Genomic DNA, 16,309 nt, shown 5'->3' on the forward strand with positions numbered 1-16,309 from the left:
ATAAGAGCGCAGCAGCCGCCGCCGCCCGTGGGGTGGGATTTCCTCCGCCGCCGCCGCCGCCGCCGCCGCGGGTCCTGCGCCGCGTCCAGCCCGCCCGCCCGACCCCGGCCCGACCCCGGCCGGCCCTGCCCGCCCGGCCCCGGGGAGGGATGCGGCGGCGCGGCGCCCAGGATGCCCCGCAGCCCCGGGACGCGCCTCAAACCCGCCAAGTACATCCCGGTGGCCACGGCCGCCGCGCTGCTGGTCGGCTCCAGCACCCTCTTCTTCGTGTTCACGTGAGTCGGCGCCGCGTCTGGGGGCACGCGGGCAGCGATGGGCAGGGCCCGCACAGCCCGGGCACGGGGGCAGCGGTCGCGGGGGCTGGCGGGGCCCCGGGCAGTGGGCGGGCGGGGCGCCGGCTGCAGGCGATGGCAGTCCCTCTCCACCCGCTGGGGCTGGGGGAGTTGAAGCGGTGTGCCGGCGTCCCGGGCACCGGGGTGAGTCCCTTGTGTGGGGACACCAGTGCGGGCTGGGCACCTCGGGAGTGTCCAGGCAGGCCCTGGCGGGGAGCGCTGGGCCCTGGCAGGGGAGGAGGCCGGGCTGCCCTGGGTGTGGCTGCAGCCCTTCCCTCCCCATGGGACCCCCGAGGGGACGTGGGCCACCCACAACCATGAGTCTTCTCTGCAGGTGGCCGTGGGTGCCTCTCGGGTCTCCTCCTGGCTGCCCGCCCCGGGCCAGAGTCAAGTTGTTCCCACGTAGGTGTGGCCTGGCCTCGTTGCCACGTGCCTGCCCCACAGCCACTGGTGACCCGGGCCTGGCCCTTGGCCTCCTTCTCAGGAAGACCCAGTGGTCATCACAGCTGGAGGGCCCAGGCCAGGCCACACCCAGGGCCCGATGTTAGCACATCACCTCCGTGGGCTGGCCATGGTGCACACCAGGACCCTTGAGGTCCTGTTTCTGGGAGTGAGAGCCCGCGCCTGCAGGACACTGGGCCCCTCCAGCCTCAACTTCTTCACCCAAGATACAGGCTGGCTTAGGACCAGAGAGGCATGCGGACAGCACAGCCTCCCTCTGTGGCTGTGGGGTCACCCCAGGGCTCCTTCAGGCACAAGGAGGGTTGGGGGCTCCAGGCTTCGGTTGCACAGATCTTCAACCACCCACCCCCCTTCCACCAATCTGGGGTTGAGACATAGCCCAGGTGGCACGAACGATGGCCACCTGTTCCAAGGTGGGGCCACCCCTGAGCATGTGAGCCTGGAGAGGGGCAGGTAGGGGCTGCCTGGCGCTCGTCACCTTTGCAAGAGTTTGGGGGGCCCCCACGTGCATCGCAAGGCTGAATCGGGTGCCCGTGGAGGCGAGAGAGTTACCTGCAGGCTGGGGCTGGGTGGGCACCGCAGGCTGCCAAGAGCATGTTTAAAAAAGGCCTGTGTGGACGGGCTTATTTCTGGCTCGGGCAAGCCAGTGTGTTCTTGTCACTTAGTTGCTGCTGGTGTGGGGCAGAGAGAGGTGGGTGGGGGGCAGCCTGGGGAGCCTGGCCTGGGGGGACACATCCCACCAAGGCTTCTGGAGGGGTGGGCCCAGCCCAGTGCTGGTCCCCAGGGCCTCTGTCCTTGGGCGGGGGGTCTGGCTTGGTTCCTTACTCTGTCCATGCAATTCAGTGTCCTTTCTCATGACTTTAAAAGTAATGTGTGGGCCGGGCGCGGTGGCTCATGCCTGTAATCCCAGCACTTTGGGAGGCCAAGGTGGGCAGATCACCTGAGGTCAGGAGTTTGAGACCAGCCTGGCCAACATGGCGAAACCCCGTCTCTACTAAAAGTACAAAAACTAGCCAGGCGTGGTGGTGGGCACCTGTAATCCCAGCTACACAGGAGACTGAAGCAGGAAAATCACTTGAACCCGTAAGGCGGAGTGAGCCGAAATCGCACCACTGCACTCCAGCCTGGGTGACAGAGCAAGACTCTGTCTCAAAAAAAAAAAAAAAAAAAGTATGTTCTTTATGGGGAACTTGTGAAATACAGAAAAAAAAAATGCTAAGAAATTAAAATCAACCCCACACACCCCCCATCTCCTGTCCTCCTTGGAGGGCTCCTCTGTTCCTGGCGCCGCGTCTGCAGCCTGGCTGTGTGGTGGCTGCAGCTGCTGGTTCCCTCACGCGTGATGTCAGAGGGCCCTTTACGTGACTCTGACTGTGAACCTGACCCAGCCCTAGGCATGGAGTGCTTGGGTGGCTCCCACTCTGCTGAGCACCAGTTTCCCCTCCTCTGTTCTGGGGTTCTGGTTTCGGCGACACCAGCAGTCTTGAGGTATGGGGTTCCCTCCTGGGGCAGTGCAGGCCATGCCTGCACCCAACCCTACACCTGGCCTATGCTGACCTCTGCCGGCCCTGCTCCTGGGAGAAGATGCCATGTGTCCCTGTAGCAGGATGGTGGCCTGGGTGCTCACCTGGGTTTGATGTGCAGTGGCCACCTAGCAAGGCTAAGAAGCCCTGCTTGCCCCCTCAGGGCAGGTGAGGCCACACCCCTGGGCTGAATGGCTGTCAGTGATCCTGGCCTCTTCCCCGACCCGCCCCGCCTCTGCTGAACTCCTCCGAGACTGCTCAGTTCCTGAGAAGGGGTTCTGTTGGGTCGGCTGGCCCATTGATGCCACCCATAGCAGCTGTGCTGATTCTGGGTAGGCAGGGGTCCAGGCGGCCCCCTTCTTGGGGCAGGCCACTTGTCTACCCGTTGCCCCACCTCCTGCCCTGTATCTGGTCCAGGCACACAGGAAGGGGAGCAGGTTGCTCTTGTGCCCCGAATCCCTGCCCTTAGTGCCTATACAGGGTTCCCGACTTCACTGTTTGCTCCTCGGACGTTACCAGACAGTGAGTGGCCCCAGCCCCCTCTCTGCACTCAGTAAACATGAGTTGCTGCCGGTGGGGTGGCTTCACCCATGCACCAGGTGGGCAGGAGTTCTGGGTGTCATGTGGTGTGGGGAGCTGGAGGCCTGAGAACCAGGGACCCCTCCCTCAGCCAGATCGCCAAGGGTCTTGGGACCAGCAGGACATTCACACATCTCTCTAGGAGGGTCTGGGCATGGAAGGATGCCCAGTTGTGAAGAGCACCCTCTCAGGATGGGGCACATACAGCAGGGCAGTTTCTCAGAGGCCCTCTTCCTTCAGGAAGCCTTCCTAGGATTTTGTTGTTGTTTGTTTGTTTGAGACAGGGTCTCACTCTGTCACCCAGGCCAGAGTGCAGTGGTGCTACCTCGGCTCACTGCAGTCTCGACCTCCTGGGCGCAAGTGATCATCCCACCTCAGCCTCCTGAGTACCTGGGATGACAGGTGGGCACCCTCACACCTGGCTAATTTATTTATTTTTTGTTTTTTTGTTTTTTTTTAGTAGAGATGGGGTCTCGCTATGTTGCCCAGGCTATTCTCCTGAGCTCAGGTGATCTGCCAGCCTTAGCCTCCCAAAGTGCTGGGATTACATGTGTGATCACTGCTCCCGGCCCCTTCCTATGTTTCTGGGGGTTTTGTATCCCCCTGGGCTTCAGAAGCCCTTTATACCATGGTATAATGCTAGGCTGGGTCAGCTGCTGGCAGAGGGTTCGAAGACCCCTAGGCCAGGCTCCCGACCCTGCCCTGACTTCACTCCAGAGCCACATTGCAGAATGACAGGGACCCTGTGAATGTCCGAGGGCTGGGGCTGCCTGGCAGGCTGCCAGTGCCTGGGGCTGAGCCAGGCTGGCTTATCTCTGTCTGGGGCATCTGGGATGGTGTGGCTGGTCCCTAGATCGTCCTGAGCCCTCTCCTTGCCTGGAGGCCCAGCTCAGGACAGCAGTCAGAACAGGCCCTGGGCCAGACTAGCCTTGGTGGGCCAGGAGGGACTGAACTGCTGACTGGGACCTCATGAGTCTGGGGAACCTGGGAGTGAAAACTCAGTGTGAGCCCCCCTGCTGGGACCCACCGCATGTGGCCTGGGGTATTCCTGGCCCCCGAGCCTCAGTTTCCCCATCTGTCCAGGTGTCTATAGGGATTGGACAGGTAGGTGCAGGTACTTCGAGGCCCAAAGGCCTGGCCTGACAAGGGCGCAGCAGCTTCTGCCCCGCCGGTCCCGAGCGCCCCACGGGCGAGTGCCACTCATACACAAACAGTGCTAATGAAGAACCTGATTTAAATGAAAACGTCTGAGTTAAAATTTTCCATTCCACATTTAGCTGTGGCGGACATTCTGCCCCTAAGCCACCCCTCTTGCTCGGCGGTATCTCCCTGCCAGCCCAGGCGGGACTTGGGGCCTCAGCCCGGGTGGGGCCTATGGTGGTGGTGCATGTCCCTGCCTGTGGCCCTGGAGGAGGGATTGGAACCTCGGGGCTGGGCCCCCTGGACCTGCCCTCCACCCGTAGCTTGGCTGGAGCCAGCCAGGAGGGGCTCAGAGGGACATGGCGGGCCAGACACTCCACCTCCAGCCCAGGCCCAGAGCCTGTCTTTGCCTGGCCCTCCGGCAGGCGAGCCTGGTGTGCACCATCAGGTCTGGGTGGGAGTGGAGCCTCCCCGAGCCTGGACCCAGACTACTGCCTGCTAGGCCCTGCCTGTGGGAATGCGTGTCTTTGAGTGTCCCTGAGCATCCACACATGGCCTCCCCTGTCCCCATGTGTCCTCATGCATCCTTGCATGTCCTTGTGTGTCCTCCCGTGTTCTTGCGCACCCTGAGAGTGCTTGTGTGTCCTCACACTTGCCCTATCCACAGAGGGGCAAAGGGAAGCCCAGAGAGTGGGAGGGCCGTGTCTGAGGCCCAGAGTGAGGGGCAGCCGAGCCGAGGCTGGATAGGGCTGGGTGCAGTGTGAGGAGGCATGTGTCTATGCATGCCTGTGTTCACGCGTGTTCACACATAGGTCTTGGTGGGTGAGTGATGTGCAGGCGTGTCTGCGTTCATGCATGTGCACCAGTGTGTGCACGTGTGCATGTCTGCATGCAAGTGTTCATGCATGTATATGTGTTTTGTATGCAGACATGATTGCATGTGTGCATGTGTGCCTTCTGTGCACCAGAACAGGTTGTCTGTGTGTTTATGTGTGTACATGCCTGTATATTTGTGTGTGTGCACACATACCCATGCACATGTGCCCTGGAGCATGTTTGTGTGTGTGTCCATGTCTTCACACGTGTCTGTAGGTGCCTGCGTGTGCTCCTCATCTTCTCTCCCACTGAGCCCTGAGAGCTCTGGGCCCTGGTGGGTTGGCCTGTGAGCTGGTCCCTGTTAGGCAGGATCTGACCTTGGGGACTACAGAGAGGACAGTTGCCTCACTCTGGAGGACTGGAGGAGTGGGCAGCAGCTCAGGTCCCAGTCAGAGAACCCACAACAAGCCTCCCCAACCCCTGGATTAGGGCCCATATGGGCCCTCACAGGCATGTGGCAGGTACCCGCACTGGGCAGGAGGGACCCGGTCACACTGCAGATTTCCCAAAGTAGCCCCACGGCTGCAAGGCTGCTGTCCAGCCCGCCTGGTGTGGGGGAGTCCAGGCTCAGGGAGGACACAGCAGTACCGCCTGCTTGGGCTGGCAGGGAGCTCAAGTCAGCATGGGGTTCAGGCCCCGCCTGCCTGATGGGCGAACACACCCCCAAGGCCCCCGTTAGGGCCAGGAGGCAGGCTGGCAGCCAGCGCAGGTGCAGAGGGGCCCCGAGGCTTCCATCCTGAGGTCAGCACTGGGAGGACAGAGGCTGCCTCCTTGCAGCCCGAGGGTTGACCAATGGCACTCGCCGCATCCCTTCCCAGAGCAGGCCAGCCCCACGGGCATCATGAGGGCCTGCGTTTGGTTTAATGCTCCGCTGTCAACATCTTGAAATTCTCTGTAATTTTTAAATAAGGGGCCCGCAGTTTCATTTTGCACAGACTATGTAGCCAGCCTTCCCCAGAAGGCTCGTGGAGAGCTCCACAGGCCCTGCCTCTCCCTGGGGGAGCTGCTCACCTGCCTGTGCCCATCTTGTTGGGCCGACCCTGCCTTAGGGGCCTGTGGTCCTGGCTGAATGGCGTTGCATTGGAGGCCAGGCACATGTTTGAGTGCTGCCTGTGTGCCAGGCAGGGCTGGGGAGGGTGGAAGGAAGCCTGGGGGCTGAGCCACTGGGCAGGGACAGGGAGAGCCCTCCCAGCAGAGGGAGGTGTGGCCGCAGCTGTGTCCTCACCCTGGTGTCTACCTCCACGGGCTGGGCCCTGGACAAGAGGAAGGGTAACTTGGGCTCCCAGCCCCGCCGAGGATGGCTGTCGTGGGAAGCGGAGTCTTTAAATAGCCTCTTGCTTTCCACTAAAAATAGTGAAGCTCTGCTGCCGTGGAGGTGGTTGCCGGGGCGGCGGGGCTGGCTCTTGGCCAGGCGGGCGTGGGTGCAGCAGCGTGGCCACGTGCGCTGGAGTGGTAGGCAGCGCGTGGGCCCCATCCACTGCTAGTGGCCATAGAGGTCAGGGCTGCTGTGGGGGATCCCCACTAGCCCCCCGACTATGCAGAGGGCCTGGGTGCAGGGAGGGACGCAAACCCCTGTGTTCCTGTCCCTGCTGCTTGTCACAGCAGCTGTCTCAGGGTGCGCAGGGGAGAGACAAGGAGCCTGAGGCCAGAGGGGCTTCTTGGAAGCTGAGTGGGTGGATTTAGGAACCCGCTGCAGGCCGTGTGGCCCGAGGACCGGCAAGTCTCTTCAGAGGGGACTCGGGCCAGGCCCGTTAAGGGCTGAGGAAGGCGCCTTTCAGGAAGGTGTGTGAGGGCACACCTTATAGGGAAGCTGCAGAGGGCAGCCTGGAGTCCTGGAAAGCTTCCCGGAAGAGGGGGTGGCCTTGGAGCCAAGTGCTGATGGCTGGGAAGATGGGAAGTGGTGGGGGGTGTTGTGCATTCTAGAGTCCCTAAGTGTTCTACTTTGTCATCTGGGGAGGGAGGTGACAAACTAAAAAGAAGGGGCTGTCTGGATGGGGATGTGCCTGACTGGGAAGAGTAGGGGAGACATGCCCCATGCACTTACTGACCAAGGACTGGGGCTCCCCACACCCCAGAATCTGCCTGGTGAGAGGCCCCACTGGGCCAGGGACAGGCCTGGATGAGGCATCGTGGCGCATTTTCCATCTGGGGCTCCCACCTCCAGCCTGTGTACCGCCCCCGCCCCCTACCCCGCCCCAGTCATGGAGCCTAGGTCGCTGGAATGGGGTGACCTTAGGTCTGTGGGCCTCTCTGAGACGGCTGCCCTGAGAGGTTGCCGGGTCAGGGCACGGGTAGCCCACATGCTGTACTGATACGCACAGCCTCTGGCCGTTACTCGAAGGAGCGATGTGGCTGAGGTTTCTTGGCAGGGCTGTGGCAGCCTCCCCACTGCCTCTGAGCTCTGAGGGTGACCTTGCAGGCCCAGCCTGCCGCACCACATAGCTCTGCGCCTGCATCCGCTCTGCACCCCCAGACTCCACTCTCTGCCCCCACTGTCTACTGCAGGTGCCCGTGGTTGACACGAGCTGTGTCCCCAGCTGTTCCCGTCTACAATGGCATCATCTTCCTCTTTGTCCTGGCCAACTTCAGCATGGCCACTTTCATGGACCCTGGTGTTTTCCCCCGAGGTAGGGCCCTGTGCTGCGGCAGCTCCTCTCACTTTCACTAGAGTGTGAGTGGCTAACTTGAGACAGCCTTAGGGATTCCTGGTGGGTGGGCTGGACTTGGGGGAGGGATTCACCTGCCAGGAAAGTCAACTTCCTGCTCACTGCCTGGCTCCTGGTCTGTAGCGGATGAGGATGAGGACAAGGAGGACGACTTCCGGGCTCCGCTGTACAAGAACGTGGATGTGCGAGGTATCCAGGTCCGCATGAAGTGGTGTGCCACGTGCCACTTCTACCGCCCGCCGCGCTGCTCCCACTGCAGCGTCTGTGACAACTGTGTAGAGGTGACCGCCCTGCTGCCCCGCGCTCCCCCAGCCCTGTGCCACATCCCTGCCTGCCATGTGCCCTGATGCACTGCTCCCGCCCAGGACTTTGACCACCACTGCCCCTGGGTCAACAACTGCATCGGGCGTCGAAACTATCGCTACTTCTTCCTGTTCCTGCTGTCACTCAGTGCACACATGGTGGGCGTCGTGGCCTTCGGCCTGGTCTACGTGCTGAACCACGCTGAGGGGCTGGGAGCCGCGCACACCACCATCACGTATCCTTGGTTCCTGTGGGCCTCATTGCAGAGGCGATGTGGACCGGGGACACGTTCACCAGGGAGATTGAGCCTCAGAAGGCTTGGTTCCTGCCCAGGGATCCCCAGTGGGCAGGTGGCCGTCCCTAGGTTGGGAGGAGGTTTGTCCACAGGCACCTGCTCTGTGCTGCTGCGATGGGGTCTGCGGTGTCCTGGCCTGCACCGTTGGCCTTAACGGGCTAGCATGGCTGTCATGTGTGTGGCCGGCCTCTTCTTCATCCCTGTCATTGGCCTCACTGGCTTCCATGTGGTGCTGGTCACTCGGGGGCGCACCACCAACGAGCAGGTGCAGACCCCATGGGGGATGGGTGGCCCCAAAGGGCCGAGAGAGTTGGGGCTGCATGGGGACAGGGTGGGGGCTGGGGCACCCTTGCCTGAGGTAGCTTGTGCAGCTGTGTTGAGACGAGGCTCCAACTCTGAGACCCCCACGTGGGGCTACGCCTGCCCCGTCCCCTGCGCACATCCTGCCTGTGGACACTGTGGCCACCAGTGACCCAGAAATCCCACAGCTCCCTGCAAGTTCAGGCTGGGTAACCTATGTGAGGGGCAGCCCTGGGCTGATCCCACCTAAGCCACTTCCCGCAAGTATCAGCTTCTAAGGAACCCCAGCTCCCTTGCCCAGCCCCCTGCCCACCCTGGCCTGGACCTTGGGAGGCCAGGCTGGCTGAGGGTCCTGCATCCACAGGTGACTGGGAAGTTCCGCGGGGGTGTGAACCCTTTCACCCGAGGCTGCTGTGGGAATGTGGAGCACGTGCTGTGTAGCCCCCTGGCGCCCCGGTGAGGCCCGGCCTGGGCAGGGTGGAGGGGGGCCTCTGCTGGGTGTGGGGCGGGCAGCCTTAGACCCTCTTGGTCCGTTTGGCTCTTGCCAGGTATGGCCAGCCCTGCCCTTGTGTGTTTGTGGCAGGTGGGCTGGCTACTGACCCCTGTGCCCTGGTGCAGGTACGTGGTGGAGCCACCCCGGCTGCCGCTCGCGGTGAGTTTGAAGCCGCCTTTCCTTAGGCCTGAACTCCTGGACCGAGCTGCACCGCTCAAGGTCAAGCTTAGTGACAACGGGCTGAAGGCTGGCCTGGGCCGTAGCAAGGTGGGCGCCTGGGCTTAGGGATGGGCTGGCAGTCAGGCCCTTGGATGGGGAAACAGGCAGGTTGGTGGGGGCCTAGAAGAGGTGGATGGGGCAGACAGAGCCGTAGACAGATTCTTGGGAGGGGGCTAGGTCCCAGGCTGAATCCCTAGTGAAGCCCTGCCCCTCATCCAAGCCCCACACACCACTGACCCCGCTCCCTCCCAGTCCAAGGGCAGCCTGGACCGGCTGGATGAGAAGCCACTGGACTTGGGGCCACCACTGCCCCCCAAGATAGAGGCTGGCACGTTCAGCAGTGACCTGCAGACCCCGCGCCCAGGCAGTGCTGGTGAGGTTGGGGCAGCCACGACTAGGGAGGGATATGGGTTGACCCTCCTCTGACCTCAGTCTGACAGTGGTCTGCATCCCCAGAGAGTGCCCTGTCGGTGCAGAGGACCAGCCCCCCGACACCTGCCATGTACAAGTTTAGGCCGGCTTTCCCCACGGGTCCCAAGGTGCCCTTCTGTGGACCAGGCGAGCAGGTAAGGAGGCCTAGCCTGCCCCCTGGCAGGCCTCGTCCCCCAGGCCCGCCTCTAGGAGCTCGCCCCACAGCCTTCACCCCGTGAAGGCCCCACCTCCAGAGCCCCATCTCTCCAGCAGAGGCCACATCCCCTGAGGCCATGCCCCTCAGGGCTCTGCCTGGGTCACCAAGGGCCTTGTGTGACTGGTAGGACCCTGTCTGTGTGCACCCAGAGCTGGGACCCACAGAGGGGAGCAGGGTGTCCTGGGAGGGGCTGGCGTGGGCCATCCAGGCTTGGCGTCTGTCCCTTGGCCAGCATTGCCCTAGGCCAGGTGGGCGGCTGCCCCCAGGAGCACTGTGTACCAGGATGCCTGGAATTCCACCATTAGTCACTCTGTAAGGCCCACGGGAAGACTTTGGAAGAATTTGAGACGTGCTTGAGAAAGCACATTTCTCTTCCCTGAGTTGCATGAGTGCTCTGTGGTCACTGGAATGGTGGGCAGTGCGGGGCGGTCTGTGCAGTGATCAGGAACACCAAACAGTCCCAGGGTGCCATCCTTCCTTCTGGGCCACCCCGAGAGGCAGGCCTGTGACTGGGCCCTGTGCACCTAGACCAGCCCCATCCCCAGGGACCTCTCCCCTCAGGACTGATGTCTTTCCTGGAGAGAGTCACTGGGTGAAGCAGTGAGTCTGAGCCTCCTTGGCCAAGGGTCTGAGTCTGCAGGCATGTAGGGGCCGTGCCTCGCAGGAGGAGGCATCCCTGTTTGGAGATGAGGGCTCTGGGTATGTCATCTTCCTGGGACTCCTGGGTCCAGTGGGGGATTGGGTCTGGTTGGCCAAGTGCATTGAGCCCACATTTGCCCTGATCCACTTCTGGCTTTGTGGTTCCTGAGGCTCTTGTCCCAAGCCCAAGCCCAAGCCCATGCCTATGTGCCCGTCACAGGGGCTAGACGAGGCTCCTCCTCCCTCTGGCTGCCCTGAGTGGTGGGCCCCTGGGGCTGCATGGCTCCAAGGGCAGAACCCCAGGTGTCTGCAGTAGCCAGCTGTGGCCTCCCTCCTGTTGCAGAGCCCCTGCCCCTCAGCCGTGGATGCTCAGGGACAGGGCCATGGGTCACTATGTGGCTCTTATGGCTCCTTGAGGCCCAGTTCCTGAGGCCACGGTGCCATGTGTGGCCCCCGTGGGTGCTGACTGGCGGCTGCAGGCGGGGTGGCAGGTGGGCAGTGGTGAGAATGCCTTCTCCCTACAGGTTCCAGGCCCTGATTCCCTGACCCTGGGGGACGACAGCATCCGTAGCCTGGACTTTGTGTCCGAGCCGAGCCTGGACCTCCCTGACTATGGGCCAGGGGGCCTGCATGCAGCCTACCCGCCATCCCCACCGCTCAGCGCCTCTGATGCCTTCTCGGGCGCTTTGCGCTCCCTGAGCCTCAAGGCCTCGAGCCGGCGGGGCGGGGATCATGTGGCCCTGCAGCCCCTGCGCTCTGAGGGGGGGCCCCCCACGCCCCACCGTAGCATTTTTGCCCCCCATGCACTGCCCAACCGCAACGGCAGCCTGTCCTATGACAGCCTGCTCAATCCTGGCTCGCCTGGTGGCCACGCCTGCCCTGCCCACCCAGCAGTTGGCGTGGCCGGATACCACTCACCCTACCTGCATCCTGGGGCAACGGGCGACCCGCCACGGCCCCTACCCCGCAGCTTCAGCCCCGTGCTGGGCCCCCGCCCCCGGGAGCCCTCGCCTGTGCGCTACGACAACCTGTCCAGGACCATCATGGCATCCATCCAGGAGCGCAAGGACAGGGAGGAGCGTGAGCGCCTGCTGCGCTCCCAGGCCGACTCACTCTTCGGCGACTCAGGCGTCTATGACGCTCCCAGCTCCTACAGCCTGCAGCAGGCCAGTGTGCTGTCCGAGGGCCCCCGAGGTCCCGCGCTGCGCTATGGCTCCAGAGACGACCTTGTGGCTGGGCCCGGCTTCGGTGGCGCCCGCAACCCTGCCCTGCAGACGTCACTGTCCTCGCTGTCCAGCTCCGTGAGCCGTGCACCGCGGACGTCGTCCTCCTCCCTGCAGGCTGATCAGGCCAGCAGCAACGCCCCGGGGCCCCGGCCCAGCAGTGGCTCACACAGGTCACCTGCACGCCAGGGCCTGCCCTCCCCGCCCGGCACTCCCCACTCACCATCCTACGCGGGCCCCAAAGCTGTCGCCTTCATCCACACGGACCTCCCAGAGCCACCGCCCTCGCTGACCGTGCAGAGGTGGGTGCCGGGAGGTGCGGGTGGGCTTCCTGGCACAGGGCAGCTGTCCAGCCGTCTCCAGGGCCCCTCTTGGCTGGGCACTCATAGGTCATCCCAGGGGCCTGAGTTTTTCTCTGGGGACGGGACAGGGAGGATGCGCCTCACCCTGCCTTGAAGGCCTTGGCTAGCCCGTGTGGCCCAGCTCTGAGGATGTCCTGGGCACGCTCTGGGGACAGGGTATGAGAATTTGTGTCCTGAGCCCGACGACTCGTTCTTCTAGAGCTGGCACAGACCCAGCATGTGGGAGGCCATGGGGCTTTCTCTTTGGGGCCAGTATCATGTGGCAGCCTGGGCCTCCTTTAGGCTGTGGCTCTGGCTTCCTGGGTCACAGTGGCCCTGTCCACCCAGGGCTCTCCCTGGGCCTGCTTGGCTGCATCTCTAGGAGGCTGGGGCTGAGGATATTACCTAGCAGCAGAATGTGCCACCCTGAGTGGCCGGGCCCTGGCCCTCCCTGTAGGACATAGTTCTAGGAAGCAGGGGCTTCCCTGCTCGTAGGTGGGGAAGCTGAGGACTGGAGAAAGCAGGCTGGCTCCAGGCACCCGGCAGGTTGGTGACTGAGAAGGCGGGGTCAGCTGGCTCACAGGCCCAGGTCCAGGTAGGAGAGCTGCACACCTGCTGGGGCCAGGACCCACGCCACAGACGCATGGTGTCCTCACGGCATCTGTCGCCCTGTCCGGGCCTGGAAACCTCAAGCACAGGCGCAGTTGTTTCCCGTCGGCAGATGCAGCCCCAGAGGGAGAGCCCAGCCCAGCCCAGCCCAGGCCACTTGGCCACAAAGGGGCTGAGGGCACAGCAGTCCAGCCCTGAGCGGGTCTCCTCTACCCCACAGGGTGGGACCTGTTCAGCTTTTGTGGAGTTGGGGAGGAGGCTGCCACTGGGAGTGATGAGTGGGGAGCCCGAGACCTAGAAGTGGGCAGCATTGCAGCCAGGCAGGGATCGCAGCCCGGGGACAAAGGGCTCTCGCCTCAAGAAGGTTTAAGTAGCAAAGATACAGCTGCTGTTGGTCAGCGCTGGTGGGCAGGAGGGCAGCCCCTCGTTTTCCTGAGAGAGAGCAGGAATGAGGCCAGGCAGAGTGGCTGGGCTCCCAGTGCAGGGCACGGCAGGGGCTCCATTCAGTGCCCACCTGGCTGCCCCATGCTCTCTGTGGCCAGTGCTGGCTAGGAGGGACCCAGGGACTCGGGAGGGTGGTGGCAGTTCTGACAACATCTGTCTGTCCTGTGACAGCACAGCTGCTCCCCAGGCAGGCTCTGCATCCCTCACCTGCTTTCCAGGTGAACCCTCCAAGCCCAGAGGGCAGGGACTGCACGGGGCCCCACAACTCGGCTGCACTAGTCCACGTCCGCGTCGTCTCTGTCTTGCTGCCTCCTCCGTCCTCTGTCCCCGTGTTCGTGTGTTCACCGTGTGCATGTGTGTATGTGCTTGTTTTGATGCAGGGACCACCCTCAGCTGAAGACTCCCCCAAGTAAGCTTAATGGGCAGTCCCCGGGCCTGGCCCGGCTGGGACCTGCCACCGGCCCCCCAGGGCCCTCTGCCAGCCCTACACGGCACACGCTGGTTAAGAAGGTGTCCGGCGTGGGTGGGACCACCTACGAGATCTCGGTGTGAGGACTGACTGCCACACATCCGCCATGGTGCCACGGGGACCAGGACCCCACAGCGCACCCCCCCTCCCCACCAACTTCTCTGCCCCAGGGACCCGAGGCCACCCCAGCCTGGTGTGGACCCATCGGCGGGAGAGAGTGCCACGCCTCCACAGCTTGCCCCAAGCGCTCTGCCTGCCCGTCCACTCATCTGCCCATGGGGAAGTCGGCTCACTGGGACAAGGGCCACTGGGCTGGTCTGTGTCTGGGCCTGTCCCATGGCTGGGGCAGTGAGGGGGCCCAGTCAGCCTCTTTGGGGCACCCTCTCTCAGCCAGGCTTGGCCCACTGCCATCACCCAGCACCCCAGATCACCGCCAGGCCAGCCCCCAATGGTCCCCTTACGGACAGGTCCCAGAGATGGACAGAGGCACCCAGGGCCCCCACCGTCCTTCTGACACAGCCTGTGGGCTCCCGGACCGAGTGTCCCCCGCCAGGCTACTCCTAACTAACGCGTTGCCTTTCACGGACCCCGCTGGAAGCTTGTAGCTTGGCAAGGCTGATGCTTCTGCCCTGGCCTGCTCTGGGTGGTGGTGGATAGGTGGACAGACGGCCAGCCAGCCAGCTGTGGCCGGGGGCCCGGCTCCATGTGTCCCGTGTCTGTGTGCTGTGCTGCCGCGCCGTGTCTGATGTGTCAGTGCTCCGGCCGCCGCTGTCCCTTTCATCAAAGCCTTAACCTTTGCTTTATGCTCTTGTGGGAGGCGACGGGGGGGCAGGCGGGAGCAGGCACGGGGGTGATGCTGCCACAGGGGGCTGGTGACACCCAGAGCCCCCTCCCCAGCCCTCAGGCCCTCCCTGCCAAACTGGAGAACCCCACCCCAAGGCATGCCACGTCCGCAGCCCCGGCCTGGCTGCGGTGCTCGCGCCGTGGGAAAGCACACTGGGGAGGGGTCAGTGCTTCCCTTGGTGTCAGGGACCTGAGAGTAAGCACATGACAGCGTCTGCTTGCGTTGTGTCTGTTTTATGTTTTTATATCTACATCTATATATCTATAATTTTATTAAAAAAAAGAAAAAGAGTTATTTTGATTCTTTCCTTGGGCAAGGCCAGGGCTATTGCTGCAGGATCCCGAGTTAGGGGAGGGCAGGGGCCGGGCCCCAGAAGAGGGAGTGGCTGCTGTCTGGTGTGCAGGGGTCGGTGGGTTCCTCAGGGGCATTTCTGCCGACTTGGGCTGAGTCAGAGGCTTGGGAAGAGGGGGCGGCCGATGGTCTGTGGCTGGGAAGTGTGAGGGTCTCTCGCCTTGGGTCTGTGTCAGTTCTGGCAGTGACAGGGTGTTTGGGGGAAAGACTTGGGTCTGCCGCTACCCACAGGGGACTCTCAGGAACCCGAGAGCTTGGGGAGATGAAATGGGGGTGCATAGGGGCCACCTGTTGGCTCAGGGCCCTGTGGGGGCCGCTGAACCTGCTGGAACTCTCCTGCCTGCCACATGCCAGGGGCAGGGCTGAGGGAGTGTGAGGGATGCACAGCTGTTCAGGGCTGAGACATTCTGGGCTGGGGCTGTCCCAGCGTGGGAGGCGTGCGGGCTGTAGGGCCCCGAAGCTGACCTCCACCTTTCTGCTTCTCTCTCACGGACGCCGCGGCCCGCAGGGGGCGGATTGGCACCTGCACCCGTGGATGGGGGCGGCGTGGCCAGCCTTGGGTGCCTCCTGGGCTGCACCTGTGCCACCTTGGCCGCCCGGAGGACCGCCCACCACTGCGGGCCCCCTGGAGCCAGGCCGCCGGGGCACCCCCACGCGGGGCCATGTGCCGCCTGCACTTGGCTGCCTCCAGTCTTTTCCCCAGCCTCTCGGGGCCCTAGCAGGATGACAAGTAGGCGGCTCTGGGGCCCAGGACAGCCCAGCTGGGGACCCAGGAGGTCAGACTGCAGTGGACCCTGGGGCAGGGCTGGGGGTGGGCTGGGCTCTCTGCTCCACCAGCCACAGCTTGACAGATTCCCAGCCTGCCAGGGCCTGAGACCCTGTGTCCACATGACCTCAGGGAGTCCCCCACCTGCTGCAGGGGGTCCAGCACCCCACAGGGGGGCAGTCCCAGAGCTGTGGGGACCGGCACGACCTTTGCCCAGCCTCCCTACCCAACCAAGCACTTTAGACTAAGCCACTTCCTCCTCGGGGAGCCCAGGCCTCCGTGGGTTGGGCTGGGTGGGGGGGGGGTCTCAGGTTGCCCCTGAAGGTCTCTGCACTCCTCCTGCCCTTCCCCTGACACATGAACAGATGCCTTAACTTCCTGGAGCCACCAGCCTGGTGAGCCATTGGCCTCTGCCTGCCACCAAGGTCCTGTGGTCTTGGCCAGCTCCGCCTGGGCCCCACTGGGGCTGCCTGCACCCAGAGACGATGCCGGCGGGATCTCAGAGGGCCTGAGGCCCAAGCCCTGTGTCCTCCAGCAGTGGTACGGCCTGCGGCAGGGTGGCACTCCGGCCAGCCCTTCTCCGTCACAGGGTCCCTGTCCCTGGGTCCACCCTGGGCTGTGGCTCTACATCTCCCATTTGGGGACGAGAAAGCCACAAAACCATTCTCTATTGTTCTTAAGGGTACCCCTGCTAATTAATTCCCCAAATAAAATTTTTGGTGTTGATCAGCTCTGTCTACCAATGTGGTCCCCTGGACCGGACAGGGCCCTGGGTTGGGGAGGTGACAGGACCTGGGCAGGGAGGGT

General features: G+C 63.4%; 1 protein-coding gene across 3 annotated transcripts, besides 6 other annotated features; it reads left to right on the forward strand.

Annotated features, from left to right (window-relative positions):
- On the forward strand, positions 28 to 16,231 carry ZDHHC8 (zDHHC palmitoyltransferase 8). Of its 3 annotated transcripts, XM_006724239.3 has the most exons (12): positions 28 to 275; positions 7,418 to 7,539; positions 7,702 to 7,859; positions 7,944 to 8,116; positions 8,339 to 8,441; positions 8,841 to 8,932; positions 9,095 to 9,236; positions 9,441 to 9,561; positions 9,645 to 9,754; positions 10,980 to 11,980; positions 15,245 to 15,466; positions 15,868 to 16,231. In XM_006724239.3, exons 1-11 carry the CDS (start codon positions 172 to 174, stop codon positions 15,453 to 15,455), a joined length of 2,337 nt encoding a protein of 778 aa, XP_006724302.1. In that variant the 5' UTR covers positions 28 to 171; the 3' UTR covers positions 15,456 to 15,466; positions 15,868 to 16,231. The 3 variants fall into 3 exon arrangements, with proteins under 3 accessions (XP_006724302.1, NP_037505.1, NP_001171953.1); NM_013373.4 differs by having other exon boundaries at positions 13,453 to 16,231; NM_001185024.2 differs by having other exon boundaries at positions 15,245 to 16,231.
- Positions 248 to 901: an enhancer, noted in NCBI's record as "H3K27ac-H3K4me1 hESC enhancer chr22:20119547-20120200 (GRCh37/hg19 assembly coordinates)". NCBI's record gives its function as "activates a minimal SCP1, AML or CMV promoter by ChIP-STARR-seq in naive H9 embryonic stem cells {active_cell/tissue: H9 hESC(naive)}" and the evidence as "EXISTENCE:reporter gene assay evidence [ECO:0000049][PMID:30033119]".
- Positions 381 to 460: a silencer, noted in NCBI's record as "silent region_13479". NCBI's record gives its function as "represses an Ori minimal core promoter by ATAC-STARR-seq in GM12878 lymphoblastoid cells {active_cell/tissue: GM12878}" and the evidence as "EXISTENCE:reporter gene assay evidence [ECO:0000049][PMID:35858748]".
- Positions 491 to 540: a silencer, noted in NCBI's record as "silent region_13480". NCBI's record gives its function as "represses an Ori minimal core promoter by ATAC-STARR-seq in GM12878 lymphoblastoid cells {active_cell/tissue: GM12878}" and the evidence as "EXISTENCE:reporter gene assay evidence [ECO:0000049][PMID:35858748]".
- Positions 5,808 to 6,407: an enhancer, noted in NCBI's record as "H3K4me1 hESC enhancer chr22:20125107-20125706 (GRCh37/hg19 assembly coordinates)". NCBI's record gives its function as "activates a minimal SCP1, AML or CMV promoter by ChIP-STARR-seq in primed H9 embryonic stem cells {active_cell/tissue: H9 hESC(primed)}" and the evidence as "EXISTENCE:reporter gene assay evidence [ECO:0000049][PMID:30033119]".
- Positions 15,231 to 15,350: a silencer, noted in NCBI's record as "silent region_13481". NCBI's record gives its function as "represses an Ori minimal core promoter by ATAC-STARR-seq in GM12878 lymphoblastoid cells {active_cell/tissue: GM12878}" and the evidence as "EXISTENCE:reporter gene assay evidence [ECO:0000049][PMID:35858748]".
- Positions 15,391 to 15,460: a silencer, noted in NCBI's record as "silent region_13482". NCBI's record gives its function as "represses an Ori minimal core promoter by ATAC-STARR-seq in GM12878 lymphoblastoid cells {active_cell/tissue: GM12878}" and the evidence as "EXISTENCE:reporter gene assay evidence [ECO:0000049][PMID:35858748]".

The sequence above is a fragment of the Homo sapiens genome, chromosome 22, assembly GCF_000001405.40.
Source record: "Homo sapiens chromosome 22, GRCh38.p14 Primary Assembly".
NCBI lineage: Eukaryota > Metazoa > Chordata > Mammalia > Primates > Hominidae > Homo > Homo sapiens.